Source organism: Homo sapiens, chromosome 3, assembly GCF_000001405.40.
Source record: "Homo sapiens chromosome 3, GRCh38.p14 Primary Assembly".
NCBI classification, from domain to species: Eukaryota; Metazoa; Chordata; class Mammalia; order Primates; family Hominidae; genus Homo; species Homo sapiens.
In genome coordinates this window covers 63,272,824-63,289,724 of record NC_000003.12, presented here as the reverse complement: position 1 = coordinate 63,289,724, position 16,901 = coordinate 63,272,824, and the positions used below count along the sequence as shown (strand labels likewise).

The 16,901-nt window shown below is 40.2% G+C and overlaps 1 protein-coding gene across 3 annotated transcripts in view; it reads right to left on the bottom strand.

Moving 5' to 3' along the window:
* The window catches only part of SYNPR (synaptoporin), a 416,321-nt gene that overhangs the window by 327,200 nt on the left and 72,220 nt on the right, over nt 1-16,901 (bottom strand). For 2 of the 3 annotated variants that reach the window (NM_001130003.2, XM_017005732.3), the window contains exons 1-2: nt 11,174-11,417; nt 10,983-11,048 (exon numbers count right to left, since the gene is read on the bottom strand). The exons of the other annotated variant lie outside the window; for it this stretch is intronic. In NM_001130003.2, coding sequence (NP_001123475.1) covers nt 10,983-11,048; nt 11,174-11,191 — 84 coding nt within the window. In that variant the 5' untranslated portion in view covers nt 11,192-11,417. Of the gene's footprint in view, nt 1-10,982; nt 11,049-11,173; nt 11,418-16,901 lie in introns of those variants that run through there. 3 annotated transcript variants of the gene reach the window in all.

Here is a 16,901-nt window from a genome sequence, read left to right as displayed (position 1 = left end):
TCGTCTTATGCTATAGTTTGGATGTTTGTCTCCTCCAAATCTCAAGTTGAAATTCGATCCGTAATTTAGGAGGTGGGGCCCAATAGGAGGTGTTTGAGTCATGGGGGCAGATCCCTCTAGAATAGATTAGTGCCCTCCCTAGGGGAGGGGTGTGTGAATGAATTCTCTCTCTGTTAGTTCCTGTGAGAGCTGGCTATTAAAAAGAAACTGGCACCTTCTCCTCACCTTTTGCTTCCTTTCTCACCATGTGATCTCTGCACACACCAGCTCCTCTCTGCCTTCTGCCATGAGTGGAAGCAGCCTGAGGCCTTCACCAGAAGTGGATAGTGACACCAGGTTTCTTCTACAGCCTGCAGAGCCATGAACCAAATAAACCCATTTTCTTTGTAAATTACTCAGCCTCATGTATTCCTCTACAGCAACACAAAGCAGACTAAGACATCTCACAATCAACATTCTTCCAATGGAGAAATAATGGGAACAAAAAACAATGTAACAATGCTATATTGAAACCCTTTATGTTTATTCCAGTGCTAGAAAGTTTAGGAATGCTTGATTGTGTTTGTAGATACATCATCAACTTCAACAACCTCTTCCTCAGTTACAGTTAGAGAATCTTGGTATAGACCAGACACTGCTGGAGGTTTTACTAATATTATCTTACTTAACCATCACAACACCAAAAGACATGACTCTTATGGTCCTCATTTGATAGTTATGGACCCTGATTTATGCAATCTGCTCTGTGTTCCATGGCTGAAAAGAAGAGCAAAATTTTTGGTATAAAATGGACCCCAAAACTGATGCTTCTTTAAGTTCCAGACTGCCTTCTACATTTTTCCAGAGGTATTTGCTCATCAACAAATTCCTCTTTTTCCCCTCCTCAAAGAAACAGCACCTATCACACAAGGCAATCCAATGACTCTTCCATGAGTAATTAGTTTCCTACTACATTAGTAAACACTTACACACAAGAAATGAATATAATAATTAATGTAGTCTTCTAACATAAAGGGCCAGAGCTGAATTTACCAACAAATATGTGAATAAAAATGAAGTACATGTGGGTTTGAGGGAATACATTTTTATTCACAAATCATCTTATCATTAGGCAAAACCTAATCATTTCTCTTAAAAAGAGGTTTTCAACAAATGGACAAGATCACACAAGCTAGTGGAGGCCCATGTGCTGAAGAGCCAAAGGTGTACCTCTTTGGATAATATTATCAGTGTGAATCCACTCAGCTATCCCCTAATCAGAGAGCATTCCAAGAATACTGATGCCAAAATCTCAAAGGTGTAACATCTTGAGAAAATTACCAGTGCTACTTCAATAAAAGAAGTACTGGTTTAAAAATCATTTACTTTTAAACCAGACATGTACACTTCTCACTGGGTCTGTCCTCTTAATGACTTAAAGGATCGTCATGATCGCTGCTCCAGCTGAAAGAAGAGACAAAAGGGGAATGTTTCGAATATCATGACCCTTTTTATTCAGGCCACAAGTGACAGGATAGCAGTGGGCATTTGATCTATGGCAACCAATTTGTAGACTGGCTATTGACTTATGATATTGCCTGGGGTTGATAGTTGTGTCCAAACTAAAATAATTTTTTTGTTAGTTGAACCAATCATATTCTTTCTGTTAGGACATTAGATAAGAATAATGACAAGAATAAATGGGAAACAGAAAGGGAACACAGAGAGAGGGCAGGCAGGACAGTGACAAAGACATAATAATAGTGGCACTCTTGCTAAGGCATTCTTGCTGCTCATTGACGTGAACCCAAGATATGAGACCTGAGCCTGTTTCAGTCCTTGAACTTTTATTTCTGTAAAAGTTCTCCACCATTATCATGCAGTGGGTATCCCTATAATAGCCCTGTTTCCTTGACAGCGGTGCCTATGTGACTTACTCTCCTCCATAACCAAGCTAAACAATTGTTTCCAGGGAAAGCTTCACAATTCCACTTCACAATGAAGACCATTAAGGGGAATTTACATCTCATCCAATGTGTTACCAATAATTCATTTACATATTCTTTATTCCCTTTCTTCCCTCCTTCTTCTCTCATTTTCTTAACCAATACTTTCTAAGCACCTACTGCCTGGGTGTTTTGGTGGAGATTGCCGATGTCCCTGATGTTGGCCTTACTGTGTGTTAAGCACTGTGTTAGAAACATAAAATGCGCTGATGAGCAGGACCAACAAGATCCCTGCTCTCACACTGCATTTACTCTGATTGAGTAGCTAGAATGAAAAGTCATTAAAAAGTGTGGTCTGGGAGCCGTCAGAAGGCTGACCTTATCTAGTAAGACCTCCCTAGACAGTGGTATCTACATTGACACTGAAGGGAGAAGAAGAATTCATCAACTAAAAAAAGGTGAGCAAAAGGGAGAGGGAGCATTCTGGGCAGTGGAAGTGGCATGTACAAAAGTTCATGAGAACAGCAAGAAACCGTCACCAGGCCCCTAAAACATCAAGAAATGTGAAACGTGTACAGAGCAAGAAATTGTCTCTTGGTATGAGAGTTAAAAGGGTGAGGATGGACCACATTCCCCTCTCCTAAGGAACATTCCCCAGTAAAGTTTGGATAATTCATTACATTCGACTGGCAGCATCATCCTTTCTTGTAGGCTTCAAAGAGACCAAAGAGACTGGCATGGAAGGCAGAGGGTGATAAGTGGTTGGAAGGACTTAGTTCCTTAGGGAACAGAGATCAAGTTCTTACACTTCACACCTCACCCTGTGCTCTGTCCAGTAACTATATTACGCTGCCCAGAGTCATTTAGGTTGGAAAAAGGTATTTCTTTATCATCACCATCATCATGGTCACAATTATCATTTACTTTAGAAGGATAGTTAACAGTTTGCTAAACACTTTTTCATGCTTGATCTCACTTAAAATTTTCAACACTATAGGCAGGAGATATTGCCCCCAGTTTTCAGGTTAGGAAACTGAGGTCTTTAAAGGAGCCTAAGCTAGTACATTGAACAGGAATAATAACAAATACAACAAAAGTCAAATACATCCCCACAGAAGATGAAGACTCAAAGGAAGACCGTGGTTCTGTGCACATACTCCTTAGAGATTTTCTACTTTTCTTCTACTAGCACATGACTGTTTTTCTTCTGTCCCCATACCTCAGTCAGTGAGAGATGTGGGTCGTCTGCAGAACAAAGAACTAAGGATGGTGTTTCTACTTCAGCATAACTCCAGGGTTTTCCCCAGTTTCTATGGGGGAACACCCAAGGGCCTGGAGCACCTGGGCATTACAATGTGGTTAGTAAGTGCCTGTATCTGACCCTATAAGGACCCTCAGCACATCCTGGAGAATTCAGTTGGGGCCACTGTGTCTCTTTCAAGTGTACGAAATTGTCTATGGATTGTTATTTGAGAAAGACCAGGAAAAGTATCTCTTCACACCTCTACGACAAACCCCTGAAGGCCAAGTGCTTGCAATTCTTCCATTAGACGTTCTCGTTTAGGTTCAATACTGGCCTTGCTGGAATTTTCTTTGAAATGTGAATATTCCAAGGAGCAAGCGCCTGAAGAGTCACTCATACTATGGTAAAAATAGACTTGCCAGTTTGAGGGCCCTCCACAGTGGAATATAGAGATAGAGGGGCTAAAAAGAGGTATGAGCAAGTCTGGATACAAATTTCTACCTCAGAGTTTTGCCAAGACTTTAACTTGCAAAAAGTTATCTGTAATTTCCTAAATTATCCTTTGATGAATTTCTACTTTCTCCCTTTTCATCACCGTCATAACCGCTGGCATCGTTATCATCATCACCTTCATAATCTTTTATTGAGCACTTATCACAGTGTAGGTACTAAGCAAGGTACCTTACTTGGATAAATCATTAAATCATGATAGCATCACTTTGAAGTAGGAACTATTATTAGCCCTATCTTATAGATGAGAAAAATGAAGCCTAGTGAATTTAACTTGCCCAAGGTAACAAAGCTAGTAAAAAATAAAATCTGAATTCAAATCCATAAGAAGCATTCCTGACCCTTTTCTCTTTTTTTCTGTACTTGTGAGGCCAAATACCAGTTGTCTTAATACACTCAGGAAAGCATTAAGTGATGAATCCATCTGGACACTGAGGAGCTGCTTGTTTGTTGTGCACTTATTGATTCATACTCCAATTGCACATGATTGTTGTCACCAATTGAGAGGCTAGAAGGTTGTAATTAAACCCACATTAATATAGCTTTAAATTACATCAAACTGTCAATCGTAGATTGCTGCTCACGATTTAAATAAATTTTCTGTAAGAATTCCCCGTCTTGTTTATACACAGGAAGAAAATGAGTTCTCTGACTTATGCACACTTTTTTTAACAAAAGAGGAAAAGATAAAAAATGAGATTAAATTATTGCCTTTGTAATCGAAGTCTTTTTCTACATATTTAAAATGAAAAGTACTGGTTTTTAATTGGAATCAACTCTACCTTGATTAATTAATAACTAACAGAAAATAGAAGCCAAATATAAAAGACAGTTGATGTCTGTTGAATTCATCTCTAAATACAAATGTTCCTTGGCATTTTCAGAAAAGACCTCAAATATGTAAGTTGATGACTGAGATAAACACTGTAAAATAGGATAACATCTGCTTTTTAAAGCTTCTTTGAGGATCAGGGATAAGATATGGCAAGTGCTTGCCACATTGGAAAAAGCAGGAGTGTAGCATTTAAGAGAATGAAGTTGGGAGTGAGGCTGCTCAAATCTTGGCTTTGGCATTTCCCTCAATTTTGTCCCTGATGAGTTGGTTAACATCTTTGAGCCTCCTGGAGAAACGGGAATGTTAAAGTTACACAGATTCAACACAATGATGTAAGAAAAACACAGTAATATAGTCCCCCATATGATGCCTGCATGACAAAGGTAGCTGTTATTACTTCTCTCATTAGGAGTTTAAAATGATGGCTACTATAAAATTGTATTTATTGTATGTTATGACGACACATTTCACTTTGTTGTTATCAATAGCATAAATTATAAATGTTATTAATATTAAGAAAGCAGTATGATATTTGCTTGAAAAACGTGGCTTAGAATTTAAATTCAGGAATGAAGATTATATAAATGCTAGTGTCTCCATTTAAATCAAGTAGACCTATACCTCACATATCGACATGCTGCATCTTTGGATTCACTGGCCGCCTTGGTTAGGCAGGGAGGTAGGCTGGAAAGGGAAAATGGTGATGTGAAACCCAGGGTTATAGCAGAAGGTATTGCAAAATTAGGGATGAATGTCAAAAATAAGGATTAGAAGAATTAGGCAAATTGAGTCAGCAGTTTATTCCATAGGCACAGAATCTAGGGCTGCAGCATTGTGTTGGAGAACTATGCAAGCCACACAAATATTGTTTTGGAGAGTTTAAGTTCTTTTGATGACCTTAAGTCTGCACCAGTGTAGTTCTGAACAACATGGATGTGTGGAGTCCTCCACTTTTCATTTCACATAAATCTACAGGTACAAATTCAGTGCATTGCATATAGTAAAGAAAGAATTACTAACATCATTTTTTAGAAGAAAAGGGAAAAAAAGAGACCAAAGGTCAACTGGCAAAATACTAAAGTAGCAAAATAAGAATTACCTGTGGGTCGGGCATGGTAGCTCACGCCTGTAATCCCAGCACTTTGGGAGGCCGAGGCCGGCAGATCACGAGGTCAGGAGATCGAGACCATCCTGGCTAACACGGTGAAACCCTGTCTCTACTAAAAATACAAAAAATTAGCCAGGCGTGGTGGCAGGCGCCTGTAGTCCCAGCTACTCGGGAGGCTGAGGCAGGAGAACCCGGAAGGCAGAGCTTGCAGTGAGCTGAGTTGGCGCCATTGCGCTCCAGCCTGGGCAGCCTAGCGAGACTCCGTCTCAAAAAAAAAAAAAAAAAAAAAAAAAGGTAATTATCTGTGGAAGGACTATACCAACTTAGTTTTCCAGAGTAGTCTGAAAATGGGGTAAGTTTAATATGTACATTTTGCCATTTCCAAATGATAGTTTAAGAGATTTGCTGGACCTATTTTATCACTGCCCTCCATCGTGGGTGACAGAGTGAGACTCCGTCTCAAAAAAAAAAAAAAAAAAAGAATTATCTGTGGAAGACAGGACTATGCCAACTTAGTTTTCCAGAGTGGTCTGAAAATAGGGTAAGTTTAATATATACATTTTGCCATTTCCAAATGATGGTTTAAAAGATTTGCTGGACCTATTTTATCATCAGGGAATAAATGTAAAAGACCACCAGAGTCAGTGCTATGTCCCGACTTTTCCGTTTTGACCTAAAAGATAGTGAAAAGTACCCTGACCTCATTTAAGTAGAGATTAAGGATGTGGGAGTTTTGCCTGCAAGTCTTGAAATTGGCTAAAGCTTTCCCCTCAAGGCTGGACTTTTATATGTTATTAAGACTTTAAATCTACTGTATCCGTGAACCCTTCCTAAGGAAAGAACACGTAAATAAAGTGGATTTTTTCCCCAGGCTATAAAATCCAAAAGTAGAAGATGACATTAAAGGTAATACCAGTTCATGTGGGTAATCCATAGAAAATAATGTAAAATATGAGCTATTTTAAAGAATTTCTTGTGTGTGTGCACAACTGTAGACAGGTGATAGGCCCACAACTCTTCCTGCATACCACAGTTTACCATCAACCTCTCCCGTTCTCTACCTACTGCATCTCAAATTACACCCTTCTGAAAAAATCAATTTTAACAGTTCAGTGCTTTATATCTACACTTCCCTCTGTGTTCATACAAATTGCACACACGCACACTCACTCACATACAAAACTATATTTTTTATTTGTGCAAATACAGGACTCTGTATATTATTTTGAAATATGATTCAATAAATTATCTACATGTTTATTCAAAGGATAAATACTGGTTTTTCCATTTAGCAATTTTATCAAATACAAAGAATGAAACTTATGTTTTCTCACTTAACAATTTTATCAAATACAATGATATATTTACCTGCAGGTCAATGCATATTAATTGAATTCATTCTTTTTTTTTTTTTTTTTTCTGAGACAGTGTCTCACTTTGTCGTCCAGGATGAAGTGCAGTGAAGTGACCACAGCTCACTGTAGCCTTGACCTCGTGGGCTCAAGCGATCCTCCCACCTCAGTTTCAGAAGTAGCTGGGGCTATAGGCATGCACCACAATGCCTAATTTTTTAAATTTCTTTTCCTTTTTTACAATCTCACATTATTTTTATTTGATCATAGTACGGACAATAAAAATGTATTCCTATTCTTTTTGATACTAACAGTTTTACTAAATTTGTTTTCAGTTTCTCTCAAATAACACATAGCATATCTTGTTGATATGGAACTTCATATTCATTTAGATCCAGTATGTTCATTAGAATAATATAGCCTTCTGATTTTAAAAGCAACTGATTGCTTATAGAAAAATGATATGCATCGACATTTAGTCAGAAAAAGAAACATGAGAACATGTCTTTTATGTTTGATATCACTTAACTTACAAGATGATGTGAAAATAGTTTGGTTATAATTTTAACAAAACTAAAACTCACTTCAACTAATGAAAAAAATCAAACACTGAAGAATCAAATATCTACTGACTTAGCTGGTATTCCTGTCAAAAGACATGTCTTCTGCTGCACTGAATATTAGAATTAGAAATTCACTATATGTTAAGCCATATTTTAATTAATATGTTCCAGAATTGCACAGCTTCCCTATGTTGGCTAGGCTGGTCTTGAACTCCTGGGCTCAAGCAATCCTCCCATCTCAGCCTCCCAAAGTGCTGAGATTATAGGCATGAGCCACCATCCCTGGCTAATTCATTCTTTTTGATGGCAATATAATATTTCATAACATGATGAATCATACTTTAATTATTTTCTTATAATGGACTTACTAGTTATTTCCAGTTCTTTTCACTACAGATGATGTTGCAATAAATATTCTTGAGAATATTGCTATTATCTGAATGTTTATGCCTCCCCCCAAGTTCACATGTTGAAATATAGTTCCCAAAGTGATGGTCTTAGGGGGTGGGGCCTTTGGGAGGTGATTAGCTCATAAATGTGGAGCCCTTGTGAATGGGATTAGTGTTCTTATAAGGGACAGACGAGATCAGAGTTCTTCCCTTCTGCTATGAGAAGACACAGCAAGAAGGCTCCATCTGTGAACCAGAAAGTAGGCCCTCACTAAACAACGAATCTGATGGCACCTTGATCTTAGACTTTCCAGTATTCAGAACTATGAGAAATAAATTTCTGTTGTGTATAAGCTATCCAGTTTATGGTGTTTTGTTATAGCAACCCCCAAAACTAAGATACATATATCTTTACATGCATGTTTATTTCTACAGCATGGGGAAATTGCAGCTTAAAGACACTGTCAAGTTTAAAGCTGCTCTCCATTGCTTTGTAAAACTTTCACAGAAACAGGATAAACTGGGATATTTTAAGTGCTCTGTCATTACCGGTTTACAATTTTTGCTGATTACTTGCTGTTTAACCAAGCGCTATGAAAGGAACCAGTGAGGGAAACAGAGACAAACAGAAGAAATGTTCTACCATCTATAAGAAATCACATTTCCTGTCATTGTCAATATCTCCTACAGAAAAAGATACCTCAGAGTGCCTCCTCAAGCCATTGTGTGCACACAAAATGTATGTTCTTTCCCTCTGTTCACTACTAGCTTTTTCAGCAACTAGTACTCTCTCCTCATGTCTCTAGCTCAGCTCTTTTAAAATGTAGGTCAACCAACTAACTTATCTAACTTTTAAAATTTGCTTTGTCCATTATTCATGTTCTTTTCCACAAATGAGAGTCTAATTACTGAGGTACAAGCAAAAAGCCCTTCCTCCTTCGAGCCTTAGAATCCTGGAAGAGAGAGGGGAAGGACTGCAAATAATTTAAATGTAGTAACTTAGTAACCTTTATTCTATTTCACTCTTTCTCTCACACACACACATCACCTGTGCACACACACACACACACACACCCCTCCCCCAAGGGGGGGAGCTATAAAACGGTATTTTGCAGTGTGATAAATTCTTATGAGTGAATGAATAAAAATCTAGTGGAAGTTCAAAGAACGAGGTGAATCATTCAGCTTGGGATAGAGGAAAGAGGAAGGAATAAATACGAGAAAAGTCTTCATTGAGGAGGTAACATTTAGTTGAGGTAAAAAACAAACATTTTTTTTTTTTTTAGGCTTGGAAGGTGAGGACATTCCATACAGTGTGAATAGAAATAGCAAGGGCACTGAGGTAAAAGGGGCTTTTGAGTTTTGGAGGGATCTGGTATAGCTTAGAGTGGTGGTTCTCCAATTATAACATGGATAAGAGTTACGCAGGGAGCTCATTTAAAATGCAGATTCATGGGCACCCATCTTATCAATATTTTGATTTGGTAGCCTGAAACCTGTAATTTGAACAAGTTCATCCAGATAACAAACACCTTTTTATATAGCAGTAGAGGCTGTGTGAGGAACAATGGCACAAAATCATGTTGCCACAGTATTGGTGTGTACACGAACTAATATTTCAGATAGGTGAGCGTGTGAGACAATAAGAGATTATGTCAGAAAATGATGTCAGCTCTTTGAACTTGGTTTTGAGAGATAATAGCTTGACAATGGAGCTATTATTTTCTTCCCTAAAGGCCACTACTTCACAGGAAATATTTATTGAATGGCTGAATGAATGAATGCGGGCAGAATTCTGAGAAAGCAAACTGAAAGTTTCCAGAACTGTGAGGATTGCTTGCTTGTTTAACTTGACTGTAAGGGAAACAGTTTCAGAATAGCCAGCTCTGAACCACTAATTCAAGCCTTCCAAAAGCTGTCCTGGTGTATGCAATATTGATATACGCATACATTTTCATTCAAGTCTACAAACAAGGTAAATGTAATTATCTTGTAGATCATCCGTGTAAACAATCATCACAGTTATGTAGCCACTGCCAGATATAAGCCCTTGGAGCTAAGATCTGGGAACAGAGAACAGGCTCTTACATAATTTCCCAGCTAGTCAGTGTTAGGGACTCTGATTAATGCTACATGACAGGCTTTGAACTTTCTATTCAGATAGGTTTGCTTGCCTTTTGGAGTTCCTAGCAAGACGAAACGTGTGACCTGCAGATTTCATTCTGAATAACCATCATCCAGCCAACAACACTGACATGGCTCTGTGGCCCTGTGGGTAACCGTTTCTGTGCCTCACTCCTCTGCCCATAGACAAATTGCAATAAGAGCGTCAGGGTGGTTTCACGGAAGTGGAATACAACTTCCTAAAGCCCAGTCGCTGAAGAAAGCCATGGCAAACAGGCTGGTGGGCTCTTCTGGGTATAATCAGAAAAGCCCTAGAGGAGTGGCCAGAGAAAAGAAACTATAGTAGGGAAGGAAGGAGTTCTGCTCTCTACCCGCCGCCGTTTATAACAGTCTGTAATAGCTTCGCAGCATCTTTCCCTCCCTGAAGCTCCCGCGGAGCAGTTGAACACGCGCTTCCAGCATCCCAGTCCCGCAGAGGAGCTGTCTCAGTTCTGACCAACTTTCTGAGCTTGGCCAAGTCTTCCCGGCTCCTCCGCTCAACTATGGGTCCCTCCACCCATCCCCTCATCCCCACGAAGGTCCAGGTGAGGGGCCAGAACCCAGCGGCAGCCCTTCCATGCGCCCCCCTCCCCTATCTCCCAAGGGGGAGGTTTCTTTCCACAGCCCCTGCGCGTCTGCAAGCGGTGAGGTGAGACGACACTTGTCTAAGCCCCTGCAAAAATGCGTCCACACTCCCGCCTCCAAGCAGGGTGCCTCGATTTTGTCCTCACCACCTTGGAACGGCATCTTAGGAGGGGGCAGGATTGAAATCCCCGGCTTGAGGGTTGAATCTCCGGCTTGGAGCAGAACTGAGCAGGGAGCACCCCATCCGACCTCTCCTCACCTGATAGCTGGCTGCCTGGCGCCCCTCCCTGCACACACACTGCTACTCACCAATTCCAGGGCTCGCAGGAAGGCAAGGGGCTCCTTCAGCACCCGGAAGGTGCCCGCAGAGGCCAGCTTTGGGGGAATGAGGCGAGAGAGAGAAAGCAAAGCGTGAGGAAGGGGCTGGGGGCGCCTCTCCCAAGCCGCGGCATCCCCCGCCCCCTGCTCCCAGCCAGCCGCCCTGCCCAGTTCTGTCTCACCTGACTCACAGGGTCCATAGCTCGCCCTCGCTCGCTCTTCTCATCCACCAGTTCTTTTTAAAAATGAAGTTCGCTTGGCACCACCGTCCTCAGGGCCAGAAGCCCCTTCGGGAGCAGCCAGAGGAGCGACACCCTGGAGCAGCCCGGCGAGGGCAGGGGGCCTCGGGGAGCCCACCCGCTAACGCTGGGCTCTGCGCTCCGGGAACCCAGCGCGTCGGGGAAGCGAAGCGAGTCAGCGAGGGGTGGGCAGGGAAGAGCTGGGGCAGGGTAGATACAACAGGGGAGGGGGAAACCCATGGAGCCAGGGGAAGGCTGTCATTGGCCAGCCGCGCTCCAGAGGGGAGGGCGAGGAGGTGGGCGAGGCAGGGCCCACAGACATTGGTGCAGGCTCAGCCGTGCGCCCGGTGCCCTCTGGCTCCGGGGAAACTTTGGGTCTGTTGGTTTGGGAAAGCGGGCTTGGCACCATCAGCAAGACGGCTGTCCACCTGAAGAAGGGGTTTCCAGGTAGGAGGAAGACACCCACACTTTACCTGAGACATCTGTGTGAGTTCTGATGACTTCCAAACAGCAAAATAATAATAATGATAAATACATAAAAATAAAAAAATAACTATTTGTTGGCTCTTTCATTCATTCCTTCAAGCCTTTATGGAGCATCCTTCCTGTGGGCAGGCAGTGCTTAGGTGCTGGGGTACATCAAAAAAACAGGATAAGCATTGTCACTTCCCCCAGGGGAAGCAAAAGGGGAAAAATAACTTGCAATGTGGTCTGGACAGTGGCGCAGAGCAGAGCACAGGGGCCATGGGCACAGGGCAGGGGATCCATCTTGGCCTGTGGATGCCAGAGAGAGGACCAGGACAGAGGAAACTGCCTGGAGAGAAGAGGTGGAAACAAATTAATCTTGAATGTGGGACCATGCGCCAGTGGAAAACAGATTTAGCAAGGATGAAATGGCCAAGGTAAAACATCTCATGAAAGGCTAAACAGGGAATGAAATTTAGGTACCTTTCAAACTCATTTTATTTCTACTGAGATCTTTTGCCTGATATCTGACCCCCAAATGAACTCCCTTGTCAAACTCATAAATATAACACTGGGTCCCTCCTCCAAAGTTAGACTGTTTTCTTGAAACTTAGTGAAAGGTGGTTCACGTTGTTTACTCTTAGTGGGCTAATCTTGCTGAATATAATAAAAACAACAACAACCAAACAAGTGAGTTCTTTCTATGAGCTGAAAACTGTGCTAAGGGCTTTACAAACATTACTTCATTCAATATTCACAAACCCCCATAAGTTAATAATAATATTATTCCCATTTTAGAGATGAGGAAATTGAGGCCCATGGAAGGATAGTGGCCTGCCCAAGGTTGCCCAGCTAGCAGGTAGTGAAGTCAGAATTGATTTTTTTAAAATCAGAAAAACAAAAGAAGAAGAAGGGGAAAAAAGGAAGAGGAGGAAGAAGAAGAAGGAGAGGAGAGCTCTTAGCTACTACATCAAGTAGTGATATGTCCTCTTCCTTCTCACTCCCTTTGGACTGGATTCCATTTATGAGTGGTCTCCCAGCAACACAGATAGTCCATCTGTTTACTATAAAGATTTGCCAAAAAGGTTTGGAGTTCATGGGTGTGTATGTGTGTGTTGGTGGGGGGGGTGGGTATTTGATATGTAGAAGTAGATGAGAAATACGGAAATCAGTAATTTGCTGTCTGGGAGGGGGAGGCAGCTTCTAGTGTAAATGCCCCCTGCTCATGAATTTTGCTGCAGAAAAACTAGAAATTTAGAGAGTAGGAACTCCAGTGGACTGGTTGCACCATCTGCAGTCAGCCAGTTTTGTTCCTACTGCTCTTCCTACATGCAGATAGAGCCTAAAACAATTAGAAACAGTTGTTTCAAAAATAAGCCATTATGCAACTATGGGGGAGGGGTGGGGGGAACTAACACTATCAATTACTTAGTGTGTACCCTACCATGTATGTATATGATCTTATGGGGGAAGTTACTTAACCTCTTCAAGACCTCAGTTTGTTTCTTTGTTTTAATCTGTAAAATGGAGCCAAAATACCTATCTTAACTGTTTTTTGTGAGAACCCAATGAGATTTTGCAGATAGCCCATCTAGGGCAGTCTGCATTTCATAAGCCCTCAGCATGTATTAGTTACATATCACTTCTATAGAAGCAAAGGGGAAGACTCAGAGGTCCATATCAGAGGCAGGGTAGATTGTAGCAATGTCCTGCTGCCCTCAACAGTGCACCTCAACATCTATATATCCTTGCCCTTTTGGACCCAGCAGTAGCCATGTGTCTTGTTTTGACCAGTAAAATGTGGGCATTTTATTGGTAATGTGTGCATTTCTGGGCAGAAGTTTTAAGAACCACCAAGTGATTTGCCAACTTATTTCCTTCTACCACGATGAATATAATTTCTATATAGAGGTTACTCTGACAGCTTGGGTCCCAGTGTAAGGATGACATAGGCAGATCTGCAACCAGACCTTGATGGACATGAAGCTGAGCAAACAAAAAATGCATTTTGGGGTGTAAGCAACTGAAAAATTTAGGTCTTTTGTTACTGCAGCACAACATAACCTAAGCCGACTGATAACACAGCTAGTAAAGTAGCCGAACCAAAATTTCACCCTAGGTTCGTATGATCTCATGGTCCTTGTGTTCATCCTCTTTGCATGGTAGTCAACCAGCTTACAGGGTATGACATCTCCTCCATATGCTTAATAACGATAATTATTATTGTAATACCTATTACCAGTTTAGTTCCTGCTACCTGCCAGGCATTGTGCTAAGTGCTTTATATACATCATTTAAGTATCATAATAATTTCCCCTTTTCTAGATAGTATATCCAGCCTTAGAATGGCTATGTAACATGCCTAAGGTCATCTACATATTTATATCTCTTTATACAGGGAAAGAGACTTATTTAAAATATTGCCTACTTGCAGATTATTTGAATTGAAAACTTGGCACAGAGGAAGTGTGATTACTGAGCCTATTCCCTCAGGGCTCTCTTCACACCCAGTGTTCCTTCTGACTAATATGGTGGCATATTTTTTTCCAGTTCTCCAAACACCATGTGAAGGAAGTCAGAATTGTGGCAAATGGCAGTGTAATAGCTTAGACAACAATTGCACATTGTCAGAGGATGCTTTTCCTATTCCAGAAATGTATGAGCTTCCAACAGCTGCATCACCAAAATAACCCAGAGTTTCATATCACATTTGCAATGTTAAATATTTTGTAGACTTTGGGTTAGAACCTCTGTATTCAGACCTGGAAATAACATTGGGTTCCCTAAAGAACTAGATTAGGGGAGATAGGACAGATGATATAAACACTGCCACAATATTACTATCAGTGGTTAAGGGTGACCCATTATCTTTTGCCCCAAGATGATGAAAGATAATTTCCCTCTTACTATGATGAATCTATCATGATAGATGAAGGATAAAGTTAACTTTGGTGGGGCATAAATGATCCATTTTAGTGGCCAGTGTTGATTATGTAAATCAAATAATTTCCAAATTCTCTTTTGTTTTGAGCCAGGGACCCATAGCTATGAATACTTCCTTTGATATGCCAAGGCAATCCATTTATTTACTGCAGTCCTCTGGTTCTCAATAGAGGGTGATTTGGGCCCTTCCCGCCACTGGAAAACATGTAACAATGTTTGGAGACATTTTGATTGTCACAACGAGGTGGGGGCAGGGGATGGAGATGACACTACTGGCTTCCAGAGGGCAGAAGCAAGAGATGCTGCTCAATATCCTACAATTCAGAGGACAGTTACTCAAAACAAAGAATTATCTGGAAAATGTCAATGGTGCCAAGGTAGAGAAACTTCAGCAAGTAAGGGCTGAGTGCCTATTGTGCCCTGGTACTGTTCTAGATACTGTAAACAGCTTGCCAAGTTTCCTGTCTTCCCAAAGCTTACACTGTAGTAAGAAATACATTCAGCCCAATTTAGTAAAGCTCAACATTTGCTAAATCAGCAAATGAGAATCAAGTTACAAACCAACCATTTTGAATCTCAAAGAGGGTTAATCTTGAGTCAAACTATACAAACCAAAGTACCAATCTGCAATAGAAGAACTTGCATTATTCAGGCAAATTAAATCTTGTTCTCATAGGAAAATATACCTTGTTCGCAAATGAAAATCAAGTAACAAAACCAAGCATTTTGAATCTCAAAGAGGGTTAATCTTGAGTCAAACTATACAAACCAAACTACCAAGCTGCAATAGAAGAACTTGCATTATTCAGGCTAATTAAATCTTGTTCTCATAGGAAAATATACCTGGGTTTCATATTCCCATGTCTTTTGTGACAAAGACAAAAAACTAATTTAAAACTTTATCTGCAGCAACTTAATACAGGAGGAAACACTACCCGTATGTTATGAAATCTAAAATAATGGAAATGAGTGGAAGTCTGTCAAAATGTTGTATATTTAACTCTCTGCTCATGCTGCTAACCTGAAATTTCCAAATCTTTCCTTAGGTAAGTGAATATGAAAGCAAAGGCCAATAGCATGCCTGTGCGTTTATTTGTTTGTGTGTTTGATCTTGCATAGGGCCACTGGTACACAGGACAGGAGATTGTGTGGAAATATTTTCAAAAACTCTAATGTTAGAATAAGTATAGCATTATCTCTCAATCCAAAGATGAAATAAAGCATTTTTACTTTCTTATGTTCCTGTGTCTTAATTGGATGCAAAAAAACATGCAAGAATATGTATACATGTTTGTTTAGTTTAAAAGTTCATCACATCATAAGATTTCATAGGCTTCTTATGAAAATCTTAGCATTCAAATAGGATCATTCTTAATTAACAAATACAACTGATATAAAAATTCATATATGGATGGCCAATGTGAACTTAAATTATAAAATGCTTTTACTATTTCTGTTTCCATATTTGTTTCAAATGAAATAGATTTTTGTAAGTTATGTTAGGCTTGAATACATGCAAATCAGAGGACCAAAACTAACACCAAAGGATTGGATCCATTGACCCCAGAGAATAATAATAGCAACAGTAATTATAATAAGGGCTCTAATAATACATTAAGTATTAATATTAAGTAGATGCTGGACAGAATGCTAAGTGCCTCTATAGGCATAAATTCTTTAATTTCCTCATCAGCCTTGTAAGTATATACTACTGTTACTTCCATTATGCAGATGAGAAAACACAGTTCAAAGAGACTAAAAATCTCAACTAAGGTCTTATAGAGAGTAAACAGCAGAGTCAGGATTTTCCTCCTACTCCCGTAACTTTCCAAGAAAAAGATGATTTGCAGTTTTCATTGCAATTTTGAAAATGTCACAAGCTTTAGGCAAAAATATTTTTCTTGCCGAAACATAAACAAAATTTCTCTGTAGAACTGAAGTAAAGATGGGCACCATTTTCTACAACTACTGCTAGTATTCCAGGAACGTACTAGAACACAATTAGAAAAAAATCTCTTCCCCCTTCTCAAATGCTCAATCATTGTAATTTTTATCTTTCATCATTAGCTGTGTATTTCCAAAATGCTCATCATTTTTAACATTCTCCTGAGATCACTCCCATGTTTTTGCAGATTCATGAAGCACAACATCTTTGAGTTAGTCTCACATTGTTACCAAAACACCAGAGGTTTGGTCCAGGTCCTGCTGCTTGCCACACAAAAAGCCAATCACTGAGACAATGAGTATGCCAAGGAAGAAGGCT